A 13271-nucleotide genomic window follows, 5' to 3' on the forward strand; every position below is an offset into this window, starting at 1 on the left:
CTTTTTTGTTTGTTGGCAAGGACCTACCTCCAAGAAGATCACATTTCCAGCCTCCTCTGCAGCTAGGCATGTTCAAGCATATGACGCAAACACAGATAATGAAATATAAGGGAAAGTCTGTTGAGTTAATTTCTGGTAAAAAATTTCTTCCCTGGTGGAACAAAAGAAAAAAGGAAGGAAACAGAGATGGGGGAAGGAGGGAGAAAGGTAGGAAAAATTTGCATAAGGAGAAATTGTCCTGCTCTCCTCTTCTTCCACCTGAAGTTGTTATATGAAAATATAGTACTTGGAGTTGCAGAAACTATCCAGCAATCACGAGGAGAATCATTACCAACATACAGAAAGATGGAAGGTACCTAGGACTACTAACCGTGGTGAAAGATTCTGTAGCATCACTGGAGCAGTTTATCTTTGAGATTAATTTCACGTTTCAACCCACAGGTTACTCTTTAAAGAATAAGTCAGGCTATAATTTCTTTTTATTTTTATTTTCTTTTTGAGACAGAGTCTCGCTCTGTTGCCCAGGCTGGAGTGTAGTGGTGTGATCTCAGCTCACTGCAACCTCCATCTCCCGGGTTCAAGCGATTCTCCTGCCTTAGCCTCCCCAGTAGCTGGGACTACAGGCATGTGCCACCGTGCCTGGCTAATTTTTTGTATTTTTAGTAGAGACGAGATTTCACCATGTTAGCCAGGATGGTCTCGATCTCCTGACTTCTTGATCTGCCCACCTCGGCCTCCCAAAGTGCTGGGATTACAGGCATGAGCCACCGCGCCTGGCCAGAGACTCTAATTTCTAAATTGATGTTCTCAATTACAAAACAAATTACAGCTGGGCGCCATAATTTGTGAACTAGAATTGATACCCAGGTTGCATGTCTCTAAACCAGGGGTCCCCAACCCCCAGGCCACGGACCACTAACGGTCTGTGGCCTGTTAGGAACTGGGACACACAACAGGAGGTGAGTGGCGGGCAAGCAGGCCAAGCTTCGTCCATACTTACAGCCGCCCCCGCATTGCTCACATTGCCACCTGAGCTCCGCCTCCTGTCAGATCAGCAGCAGCATTAGATTCTCATGGCACGAACCCTATTGTGAACTGCACATGCAAGGGATCTAGGTTGCATGCTCCTCATGAGAATCTAATGCCTGATGATCTGTCACTGTCTCCCACCAACCCCAGATGGGACCGTCCAGTTGCAGAAAAACAAGCTCAGCCTCCCACTGATTCTACAGTATACTGGGTTGCATAATTGTTTTCATTATATATTACAATGTAACAATAATAGGAATAAAGTGCACAATAAATGTAATGCACTTGAATCATCCCAAAACCATCCCCCTGACCCCACCCGCAGTCCATGGGAAAACTGTCTTCCAGGAAACTGGTCCCTGGTGCCAAAAAGGGTTGGGGACCACTGCTGTAAACTAGCACTTGTTCCGATATATCACACCTATGCTACCACACAGATTACCTTCATAATCTTTTTTTTTTTTTTTTTTTTGAGACAGAGTCTCGCTCTGTCGCCCAGGCTGGAGTGCAGTGGTGTGATCTCAGCTCACTCACTGCAAGCTCTGCCTCCCGGGTTCACGTCATTCTCCTGCCTTAGCCCCCACCGAGTAGCTGGGACTCCAGGCACCCGCCACCACGCCCAGCTAATTTTTTTTAGTAGAGACGGGGTTTCACCATGTTAGCCAGGATGGTCTCAATCTCCTGATCTCGTGATCCGCCCGCCTTGGCCTCCCAAAGTGCTGGGATTACAGGTGTGAGCCACCGCGCCTGGCCCATAATCTCTTATATTTATATACCTGGGTGTGGCTAAAAAGACCAGGGGAAGGTAAAGTATACATAAAAATTATTCAATACTTTTTTCTTAGAGATAGGGTCTTGCTAAGTTGCCCAGGCTGGAGTGTAGTGGCTACTCACAAGTACTATCATAGCTCACTGTGGGCTCAAGCAGATCCTCTTGCCTTAGCAAGGACTACAGGCACGTGCTATGGTGCCAGACTAACACTTCTATTCTTAACCCTAGAGATAAGTAACTTTCATTATTAGTCCTTAGTTTAATACCATCAAGTTCAGGAGAGTATCCTCTATTCATGTCTATGAATCATAAACTATCTTCACCTGCCTTGGGCTGCAATGGCTGTCCCATTCAGAAAAGAATCTTTAAATTTTAGGAGCAGGTAAAGATTTCTGAATAATGGCTTAGGAGCTAATAAACCAAGAGTCACCAATAGGAAGAGGTATTACCAAAACCCTAATTCTTTCAATTTCAAGTACACAGTGGTCTGTGACAAAAAAAGTTTAATTAAACAGACCCTCTCAAACTATATTTCCTTCTCTGCCTAGTTAGCATCTCCTTTTTCTCCCCAACATAACTGACCATAATATGGAAGTATATATTTACATTTAAATTTTATTTAGTCATTCGAAGTTGCATGTTACCTTTTATTAATTATAAAATCAGGTAATCTTTTTTTCCCTCTCTTAAAGAAATGTTATTTAAGTGTAGCCCTACTTGATCTTTTTTTCTTGCAGCTCTCAGTTTTTCAAAAATTCTCCCTCTCAAGATTTACAACATTTTAAGTTCTAATTTGAAAGAATACTAATTGAGAAGCAACTATGATTGTTGAATGAATTTTTAAATACCTGAGTCCAGTACCTGATCTGCTACTTCCAGTTTTCATCACATCTAAAACATCACTGAGGGCTGGGCATGGTGGTTCACGCCTGTAATCCCAGCACTTTGGGAGCTTGAGGCAGGCAGATCACTTGAGACCAGGAGTTGGAGACCAGCCCTAACCAAATAACGAAATCCCATCTCTATAAAAACTACAAAAATTAGGCCGGGCGCAGTGGTTCACGCCTGTAATCCCAGCACTGTGGGAGGCCGAGGCAGGTGGATCACAAGGTCAGGAGATCGAGACCATCCTGGCTAACACGGTGAAACCCCCTCTCTACTAAAAGTACAAAAAAAAAAAAAAAAAATTAGCCAGGCATGGTGGCGGGCACCTGTAGTCCCACCTACTCAGGAGGCTGAGGCAGGAGAATGGCGTGAAACCAGAAGGCGGACCTTGCAGTGAGCCAAGATAGCGCCACTGCACTCCAGCCTGGGTGACAGAGTGAGACTTCGTCTCAAAAAAAATAAAAATTACTACAAAAATTATCTGGGCATGGTGGCATACAGCTGTAATCCCAGCTACTCGGGAGGCTGAGGCACAAGGATCGCTTGAGTCTGGAAGGCAGAGGTTGCAGTAAGCCAAGATCGCACCACTGCACTCCGGTCTAGGCAACAAACCAAGACTATGTCTCAAAAAAAAAAAAAAATTAAAAAATTTAAAAAATAAGAACACCATTAACTGCAAGACACATTATTTTATATTCTGCTAAGAAAAAAATGCTGCCAATTAACACAATACCGTTACTTAGAATTTTCATTTATACTTATTAAAAGAGTTCTTTTAAACTTATTTAGTCAGAGTTTAGCATATGCATAATAAAAAAAGATAAATGAAATAAACTGGTGCATAAATGGGTCACATTCAGAGTCGAACTCTTCTCATTTTTTTGAATCAGTCACTGACATCCATATATTTCCACAAATTACCATCCTCCATGCTATCAAAAGCCCAGGTGATCCAACATTTGTATTCCAACCATTGTCTCTGGGATTTTCTTACAAGATTGCTGATACCCATCCCGCAAGTTCTATGCATGAAGAGGCAATGACAACTGCATCACAGCCTAAAAGAGCCATAAGATGCATCTTGATTTCAGAAATGTAAGAATGTAAAACAATGTGCTTCTTATAATTCATGAAACACGATAACTTCCTTTTGTACCTTGAATAAGACAACATTCTTCCTGGACTTCAATTTTCCACTAATAACAGTAGCTACCAATGCTAAATACCTACCATTCTTGGCATTTCACCTGTCTCATTTTACTTTCACAGAAAAGCAAAAAGGTCAATATTAATCTTGTTTCACACATACAAAATACTGAAGCTCAGAAAAGCTAAGCCACTTGTCCAAGATTACCCAGCTAATAAGCAGCAGAGCTGGGTTTCAATCTACGGCCTACCTTCAAAGCTCTTGTTTCCATTACCAGTGGTTCTCAAAATTAAGTGCACATAAAAAACTCAGGTGAAGACAGGCACTGTGACTCATGCCTGTAATCCCAGCACTTTGGCAGGCTGAGTCAGGTGGATTGCTTGAGCCCAGGAGTTTGAGACCAGCCTGGACAACATGGCAAAACCCCATCTCTACAAAAAAATACAAAAATTAGCTGGGCATGGTGGTGTGCAACTGTAGTCCTAGCTACTCCGGAGGCTGGGGTGAGAGGATTGCTTGATCCCAGAAGGTGGAGATTGCAGTGAGCCATGACCATGCCCCCTGCACTCCAGTCTGGGTGACAGAATGAAACGGTAACAGAAAAAAAAAAAAAAAAAACCTCAGGTGATTCTTCCATAGAATGGGAAAAAAATACTGCATATATTTGCAAATCATATATGTTATAAAGAACTCTTAAAATTCAATAAAAATGATTTTTTAAATGGGCAAAGTACTTGAATAGACATTTCTTCAAAGAAGATATACAAATGGCCAATAAGCACATGAAAAAATGCTCACCATCATAAGTTGTTAGAAAAATGCACGTCAAAGCCACTTACAATATCACTTCACATCCACTAGAATGCCTATAATCAAAAAGACAGACAATAACATGCACTGGCCATGACGTGGAGAAATAGGACCCATCATGTATTATTGCTGGTGGGAATATAAAATGGAGCAGCTATTTTGGAAAACAGTTTGAAAGTTCCTCAAAAAGTTAAACATAGAGTTACCATATGACCCAGACATTCCATTTTTAGGTATATATCCAAAAGAAAAACATATATCCATACAAAAACTTATACATGAAATGTTCATAGCAGCATTATTAATAATAGTAAAAAGTAGAAACAACCCATATCTCTGTCAACTGATGAAGGGATTAATAAAATGTGGCATATCCATACAATGGGGTATTATTTGGCAATAAAAAGGAATGAAGTAATGATACTACAACCTGATGAATCTTGAAAACATTACACCAGGCTGGGCGCAGTGGCTCATGCCTGTAATCCCAGCACTTTGGCAGGCCAAGGCAGGTGGATCACTTGAGGTCAGGAGATGGCCAAACCCCATCTCTACTAAACATCACTGAGGCTTTGAGATGGCAAAACCCCATCTCTACTAAAAATTGAAAAATTAGCTGGGTACGGTGGCGGGCACCTATAATCCCAGCTACTCAGGAGGCTGAGGCAGAATTGCATGAACCCAGGAGGCGGAGGTTACAACGAGCCGGCATCGCGCCACTGCACTCCAGTATGGGTGACACAGAGAAACTCCGTCTCAAAAAAAAAAAAAAAAAAAAAAAGTAACCATTATGCCAAAAGAAACCAGTCGCAAGATTCCACTTCTATAGAGACAGAAAGTAGATAAGTGGTTGCTTAAGGCTGGAGAGGGTTATGGGGAGCGACTGCTAATGGGTACCAAGTTTCTTTTAGGGGTAACTAAAACATTTTAAATTGGCGTGACGATTGTACAATCCTATAAAAAAAAAGTTGAATGGTACACTTTAAATGGGATACGTAATCATATATGATATACAGTCACATCATGTAACTTACATGATATGTACATTGTATATAAATAAAGCCTTAAAAAAAAAAACTCTAGACCAGATTAGATTACCTCTAAGATCTCTTTCTAGATACAACAGTCTCTGAGACACTGAAAAAAAGTCTCAGCACCATGCACAGTGGCTCATGCCTGTAACCCCAACACTTTGGGAGGTCAAGGTGGGAGGATCACTTGAGCCCAGGAGTTCGAGACCAGCTGGGGCAACATAGTGAAACCCTCTCTCTACAAAAAATACAAAATTAGCCAGGCATGGTGGTGCATGCCTGTGGTCCCAGCTACTCAGGAGGCTGAGGTAGAAGGATCACTTAAGTCTGAGAGGTTGAGGCTGCAGTGAGCCATGATCACACCACTGTGCTCCAGCTTGGGTGACAGGGCGAGACCCTGTCTCAAAAAAAAAAAGTCTCAGAACATCCATAAACAGACCTTGGAATCCAATCTCCCATGACTCCTGGGAATCTACAGTTCAGAGAAAGTAACATACAGTACAGTAATTCCTCACTTGAGGTCTCTAGACCACCAGGTGTCTGCAAAGGCAGGACAGGTGCTTCTTGAGCCAGTTTCAATTCTTCAGAACATCTATAAGAAATCACATATTCAGCCTTCTCTGGGATAAAGTTTTTTAAGTGTCTTTGACTTTGGTGAAACTCACGTTAACGGTTTGAAAATAGTGATTTGGAGCTGATCGACAGCTCAATGTATCAAAAAATAAGAAAACAAATTATTCCCTGATAATATACTGTTTTCTGGGGGGGAGTTTGTTTTTTGGTTTTTGGTTTTTTTTGAGACAGAGTCTAGCTCTGTCACTCAGGCTGGAGTGCTGTGGCACTATCTCAGCTCACTGCAACCTCCACCTCCCAGGTTCAAGTGATTCTCCTGCCTCAGCCTCCCAAGTAGCTAGAGTAGCTAGGATTATAGGTGTGCGCCACCATGCACACCTAATTTTTGTATTTTTAGTAGAGACAGGGTTTCACCATGTTGGCCAGGCTGGTCTCGAACTCCTGACCTCAAGTGATCCACCCGCCTTGGCCTCCCAAAGTGCTGGGATCACAGGCATAAGCCACCGCACCCAGCCTCCTGATAATATATTATACTTTTTGATAGGCAAAATATTTTTTACAACTGGACTCATGATGAGTTCCTTGGTTAAAAGCTTGGGAAACACAGATACAGGGGAGAGTACAGTAGTATGGAAATCAGGACAAATAGCTTAGAGTCTTCAACAATATAATTCACTTCATTTCACTGTGCCTCAGTTCCCACTTTCATCTATAAAATGAACAAACATGATAATATCCACCTGACTAAAATTCAATAATTTTTCCATATTATAGACCTCCTTAAACTGTCCTCTAAGAAGGTAGTTCTTTAAATTCTGGGTCACTGCAAAAAATTTTTCTTAACTAACTCTACTCAACATAGCACAGGATAAACAATCCTAAGAAGAAAAGTACACAGACTCTAGTATGTAGAAACTTATTGTAAGTGGTCTTAAAAAGCAAAGAGAAAAAAATATAATAATAAACTAAAAAGAAAGTAGACTCTACTTGTCTACTGCTGATAGCAAAAGTCAACAGGAAACACATCAGTATAAAACCTCCACAAAGCATGGAATGTCCCTGATTAACAACAAATTAGTTGTCTTTTCATCTCAAACTTCACTCCCAAATACTAGCTTCCAAATGCCATTCGCAGAACAAATGAACTGAAAAAGGGGAGGAGAACAAAGGAGAAAAACTGTATCATAATTGGTCTCCTCCCCTCGAAATTCCAAAAGATAAGAACTGGGGATTAAGGGGTGCGTTGCAGCAGTAGTGGCTCATTTCTGTAATCCCAGCACTTTGGGAGGCTGAGTGGGAGAATCACTTGAGCCCAGGAGTTCAAGACGAGCCTGGGCAACAAACAAACCCTGTCTCTACAAAATCTTTAAAATAAGCCAGGCATGGTGGCACGTGCCTATAGTCCTAGGTACTTGGGAGGCTGAGGCAGAAGGATCACCTGAACCCAGGAGGACAAGGACACAGTGAGCTAAGATCACACCACTGCATTCCAGCCTGGGCAACAGAGCAAGACTCTTGTCTCTTAAGAAAAAAAAAAAAAGAAAGAAAAAAGAAGGGACGTAATGGGGAAGAACTAGACAAAATTTAGCATAAAATTCTATTTACAGTCTAATGTGCTGTAGATTTTTTTTTAACTTTTTTCAATGATATAAAAACTTTTGACATTTTCTCAAGCTGGGCACAGTGGCCTGACGGTAGGACTGCTTGAACCCAAAGTTCAAGACCAGCCTGAGTAACATGGTAAGACCCCATGTCTACAAAAAACACAAAAATTAGCCGCGCACCTGGAGTCTCAGCTACCATGGAGGATGAGATGGGAGGATCGCTTGAGCCCGAGAGGAGAGGTTGCAGTAAGCAGAGATCACACCACTGCATTCCAGCCTGGGCAACAGAGTGAGACTGCCTCAAATTTAATAATAATAAAAAAAATTATCTACTACTAATTTCTTTAAGAACACAAAGCTATTTGTACTTTTCTAAGTGAATTCATACTAACTTAAATTGAGCATAAAGTTGGCAGGGGGCACTGGTGAGAAGGAGCACTAGTCTCAAAAGAGGAAAAGCAAGTAAGATCCTTTACAACTTAATTCATATAAAAACCCAAGTTCGGGCCAGGCGCAGTGGCTCATGCCTGTAATCCTAGCACTTTGGGAGGCCGAGGCGGGTGGATCACTTGAGGTCAGGAGTTCAAAAGCAGCCTGGCCAACATGGTGAAACCCAGTCTCTACTAACAATACAAAAAAATTAGCCGGGCGTGGTGGCAGGTGTGGTGGCAGCTACTAGGGAGGCTGAGGCAGGTGAACTGCTTGTACCCAGGAGGCGGAGGTTGCAGTAAGCTGAGATTGCACCACTGCACTCCAGCCTAGCCAACAGAGCGAGACTTTGTCTCAAAAACAAACAAAAAAACATCCAAGTTCAGAGATTTCCAGTGAATTTTTAAAAAATCATTCCACTTACTAGGGCAGACAAGAGAAGCCAGATCACCTCCTTCCTCAGGCAACTGAAGTTATCATGAATACCAAGAGGAGGCAAGTTTCAACTTTTTCAATATTGTCTTTGAAAAAAAAAAGCAAATCAGAAACCTAAACTCTTGTTTTAGTAGGTAATACGGTATCCTATTTACAACTCTATGGGAATGAAAGGATTCATTCCATTAAGTTAATATAGATAGAAGAACACACTAACTCCTTTAAAAAAAACCTGTTAATCCTTGGAGCACCAACAATCTCTGTCTTTACATATTATATACTCTACAACAAACAAGATAGTGTAATTAAAGTGATCACGTGAACCAAAGTATATAACACAAGCTCAACAGAGGCCCCTATAGCTCCCCTACAGAGTGTATACAGTATCTCACCCAAGAAAAAATAAGATACATTTAAATATAGCCAGTTACATTCGACAACAAGGGTATAAAGATACAAAAATGAATAATAGCCCATAACTTCAAAGACTTCATCTGAGGGAGGATGCCAGAACCATGTGCAAAATCAAAATCCTTTGAGATCACAGAGAACAAAGAACTTGCAGTTATTGGTAATCAAGAATTTGTCAGGTGAAAAAGTGGGAGGAAGGGTACCAACAGGCAAAGACAACAGCATACACAGGGGCATGAATGTAGAGTGCACAGTTAGACAACCTGACGTCCCGAGTGACCAGAGCAGGGGGAAGAAAGAGGAAGGATGCATGGGCATGAAACGGTAGTAACTAAGCCAGGAAAGGAAGCTTGCAGCTGGGTTGCAGAGAACCATATATACTATGACAAAGTGTTTGACCTTTATCCAGAAGGCCACAGAGGAGTGATCTATAATAATGTTTTTAGAAAGCTAACTGGTGGTAATGTGGAAGACATATTTAAAAGAAGAGATGGGAGATGGAAGATATAAGGACACTACTGCAATAATTAGGATACTAGTATATTGCAAGCAAAATGTGATGGATCAGCAATAATACAAACTAAGCAACAGCAACAGGAGCAACAGACTATATCAACTTAGCTTAGATGTGTGCCACATCTCATATGTATTGTCATTTGATCAATACAACCTTGGGCAACAGAGGCCATTATTGCCCCATTTTACAAATAAGAAAAATTAAGTTTATAAAGATTAATTCATTTTCTACAAGTCAGCACAGATATCAGGACACAAACTCAGGACTGTCTGACTGCAGTGTCCATATTCTTGACCATAAGCTCCTGCACCAAGCTACAGACAACAGGGGAAAAATGGAGACAAAACGCAATCAAGAAGTCTTTAGAAGACACAACCAACAGAAATTATTACAACTACTGACCACCCATACCCCACACGGGATCTTCACTTACACACTAATTCTGCCTTCCTGAACTGCTTCTGAAAATGTATTACTTTCTTCATCTAGATATTTCTTAGTTTGCTTAATAAGTTAAAAAAACCTTACATTTTTAACCATGTCAAGAGTTTCAGATATCTTGCACAGGAATTTTTTTTTTTTTTTTTTTTTTGAGACAGGGTCTCACTCTGTTGCCCAGGCTGGAGAGCAGTGGTGCCATCTCGGCTCACTGCAACCTCCGCCTACTAGGTTCAAGCAATTCTCTGCCTCAGCCTCCTGAGTAGCTAGGACTACAGGCGCACGCCACCATGCCTGGTTAATTTTTGTATTTTTAGTAGAGACAGGGTTTTATCATGTTGGCCAGGCTGGTCTCGAACTCCTGACCTCAGGTGATCTGCCTGCCTCAGCCTGCCAAAGTGCTGGGATTACAGGTGTCAGTGACTGCGCACGGCCTCGCATAGGAATTTTTAAGTCTAAATATTTTCTTATGGCTATGATAAGGGAAGGAAGACAAATACAGAATTAAAATTGTAATTTTCAGTCAGAAAACAACAATCTTGATATATCCAGGTTGGATGAGAATAGATTTATATGCCTTAGTCATAAACCCTGAAGACAGGTATACAGCAGAAATGCTTATAGTGCCTAAATATAGGAGAGGAAAAAAGGAAATTCTTGAAACTAAAATCTTTGGGCTATAAACAGCAATCCAAACACATAATTTTATCATTAACACCAGAGTTAATATTTTTCATGAAACCAACACGAAGTTAGTGTACCACCAGAAAACTAGGTAACTGATGAGGCTTACAGACCCAATTCCAATTTGATAAATGTATTATACAAGGGAAATAAGAATTGCAGCCACTCTTGCTTCACCATGCAAATCATCTTCCATTCTTGACGAAAATCTTTGTTGAACTGTCAGTCTGTATTACAAGATTGTTAAATAAGTGGTATTTCTTTCATTAAAATAAGTCATCCATCCCTCTAGTAAGAAAGATACTGATTTTCACAATATTAGCAAGATGTCTTAGCTATTCAAAGTTAACTTGATTATGAATATGAGTAACCTCAATAATAAAATAAAATATGATAAACACACTTCTCACTAAATTTGGCACTCAAAAACAAAGTTGTATTTGTCATGTTCTAACCCAGTGAGAGCATATAACCATCTGGGGTTGACTGGCTCACCCCCAGATATTAACCATTAACCACAAGTGTTGGTTTAAAAATCTAACTGTGTAAAACCGTTAAGGTCAATAAAATGATTGTTACAATTCCGTGGAAAGATTATTTAAACAAGAATCTTTAATTATTATAATTTGACTAGTAAGACTTTTAAGGTCCTTGTTTTTTCTGAATACTATGTGTGCATTATAGGTCCCCCACTGAAGGAAAAAGTTTGTATTGTGTTAGTTCCAGTTCTAATTTCCAGCTGAGTCAAAGTTCTAACAGCCTTAAAGCAGGAAATCCAAAAGGAAATTCCATCATCAGTTCCTGGGGCTTGGTAACTCAAAGGTTCTTTGAAACAGACAAACAGAAGTCCTTGAACTATTTACTATAGCCTTACCTCATATCTTCAAGCAAATCACATTCTGCTTGATGTTTGGCTTGAAGTTTTGTCATCTGCTCAACTTGAATGTTTTTCAGTTCTTGTGTAACTTTCACCTAAAATATACCATATATTTATGAAGGTCTTTTTACAAATTTAACCCAAAAAAATTGCTTCAGGAAAATACATCTGTCAGAATATGTCTCTTGCTCGCCTCTCCCCTGAAGGCCATAAATCCAATATTCGCCATCTAGTTTTATTTATTGAAGATACTTATTTAATGAAAAATTAAAGCCAAATAGCCTGAACAGAGGTTAAATGAAAATACACGACTATAAATATTACAAACTAAAGACGTGCAAAATAAACTGCCAGTCATTCCATTTCATGCACAAGCTCAATCCACGTCTAGGTCTTCCTACAGTTTTAAAAGAGCCTGTCTTCTATTTCTAAAAAAGATTCAAAGACATTAACCACCAGGAGAGGTGAGCAGAGTGTGGATGGGGGCTGGGAGCCTAAGAGTGCCTGATACCCAATGACCAATATTTACACAATCATGATAATATGCCTGAATCGACTACATAAATTACTCCATAATGGCTGCGAAAAAGCACACTGTCTCAGAATGATGCCCTCGACTTGCTGACAGCGCATCAAATCACAATCTCTTTCTCACAAAGGAGAAAGCAAAAGTGACCTTCCAGCATATGCAGTGCTTTTAAACTACCCCGGGAAGCCGATCCCCGTGGAGGCTCCACTTCAAACAGCGGAGAACAGCAAATGCCTGCTGGCCAGAGAGCCTCGCCCGCCAGGCCGGGGCCCCAGGGTTCGAAGTTAACGGTCAGTCTGGAATCTCGGCCTCAGCAGTGGGACCACCCGGAGGGGTGGGGGTACATGTTCGAAAGAAAAGGACTCACTTAAATGGAGAAACCCGGATTAGGAAAGAGAGAAAGCAGCGGCAGCAGACACGGGTGAGTTAGGCGTTAGGCAAATGTTTGCCCACGAGGGGAGGACAGAACGGCCTCATCCACCCAGTGCCCAGAGTAGACATTCAGTATCCATCTGTAGGATTAAAAAGACAAGGACACAGCCTCGGCCCCTGGGAAAGCTGGGGAAGGGCGCAGCGGGGAGACTGATGACAAGCCGGGTGCATCCGTCACTCCCACCCTGGTCATCCAACCCCGGATCGCAGTGCACACCCCACGCACCTCCCGGGCCCGGTCCTCGCTTTTCTGAAGACAGCACGACAGCCTCCTCGCCCCTCAGCCGGGGACGAGGCAGGACCCGTCAATCCTTAATTTGTTTTCCCTTGGGGTGGGGAGGCGGTGACTATTCCAACTTCTTTTCGGCCGCCCCGTGGGAAAAGCAGGCCAAACCCTAAGGCTAGGCTAGAAACAAATCCCCCGCAAATTTGCAAACGGGCGGGGCTGGCGACAAGCGGCTGGAGGGCTCAAAGCTGGTGCAGACTAAACAATCACACACGCACAAGGCTCTGCAAAGCTGCAGGGGCGTCCCCGCCTCCCCCTCGGTGCAGCCCCGAGAATGCACTTTGCAGCGGGCAGCATTGCCATGCGCGCGCACACACACAAATGCACACCCGAAACTCTTGTGAAATGTCTGGGGGTCTCCTGCGTTAGAGGACGGACGAGC

The 13271-nt window shown here is 41.9% G+C and overlaps 1 protein-coding gene across 4 annotated transcripts in view, besides 6 other annotated features; it reads right to left on the reverse strand.

Moving 5' to 3' along the window:
* The window catches only part of FCHSD2 (FCH and double SH3 domains 2), a 305574-nt gene that overhangs the window by 291647 nt on the left and 656 nt on the right, over nucleotides 1-13271 (reverse strand). For 2 of the 4 annotated variants that reach the window (NM_014824.3, XM_047427950.1), the window contains exon 2: nucleotides 11640-11737. In NM_014824.3, coding sequence (NP_055639.2) covers nucleotides 11640-11737 — 98 coding nt within the window. Of the gene's footprint in view, nucleotides 1-11639; nucleotides 11738-12829; nucleotides 13094-13271 lie in introns of those variants that run through there. The other 2 variants (XM_011545409.2, XM_011545410.3) reach the window with 2 other exon arrangements.
* Nucleotides 11903-12524: an enhancer, noted in NCBI's record as "H3K4me1 hESC enhancer chr11:72851339-72851960 (GRCh37/hg19 assembly coordinates)". NCBI's record gives its function as "activates a minimal SCP1, AML or CMV promoter by ChIP-STARR-seq in naive H9 embryonic stem cells {active_cell/tissue: H9 hESC(naive)}" and the evidence as "EXISTENCE:reporter gene assay evidence [ECO:0000049][PMID:30033119]".
* Nucleotides 12376-12425: an enhancer, noted in NCBI's record as "active region_5213". NCBI's record gives its function as "activates an Ori minimal core promoter by ATAC-STARR-seq in GM12878 lymphoblastoid cells {active_cell/tissue: GM12878}" and the evidence as "EXISTENCE:reporter gene assay evidence [ECO:0000049][PMID:35858748]".
* Nucleotides 12525-13146: an enhancer, noted in NCBI's record as "H3K4me1 hESC enhancer chr11:72851961-72852582 (GRCh37/hg19 assembly coordinates)". NCBI's record gives its function as "activates a minimal SCP1, AML or CMV promoter by ChIP-STARR-seq in naive H9 embryonic stem cells {active_cell/tissue: H9 hESC(naive)}" and the evidence as "EXISTENCE:reporter gene assay evidence [ECO:0000049][PMID:30033119]".
* Nucleotides 12525-13195: a biological region, named in NCBI's record as "H3K4me1 hESC enhancer GRCh37_chr11:72851961-72852582".
* Nucleotides 12646-12875: an enhancer, noted in NCBI's record as "active region_5214". NCBI's record gives its function as "activates an Ori minimal core promoter by ATAC-STARR-seq in GM12878 lymphoblastoid cells {active_cell/tissue: GM12878}" and the evidence as "EXISTENCE:reporter gene assay evidence [ECO:0000049][PMID:35858748]".
* Nucleotides 13056-13195: a silencer, noted in NCBI's record as "silent region_3733". NCBI's record gives its function as "represses an Ori minimal core promoter by ATAC-STARR-seq in GM12878 lymphoblastoid cells {active_cell/tissue: GM12878}" and the evidence as "EXISTENCE:reporter gene assay evidence [ECO:0000049][PMID:35858748]".

Source organism: Homo sapiens, chromosome 11, assembly GCF_000001405.40.
Source record: "Homo sapiens chromosome 11, GRCh38.p14 Primary Assembly".
Classification (NCBI taxonomy): Eukaryota; Metazoa; Chordata; class Mammalia; order Primates; family Hominidae; genus Homo; species Homo sapiens.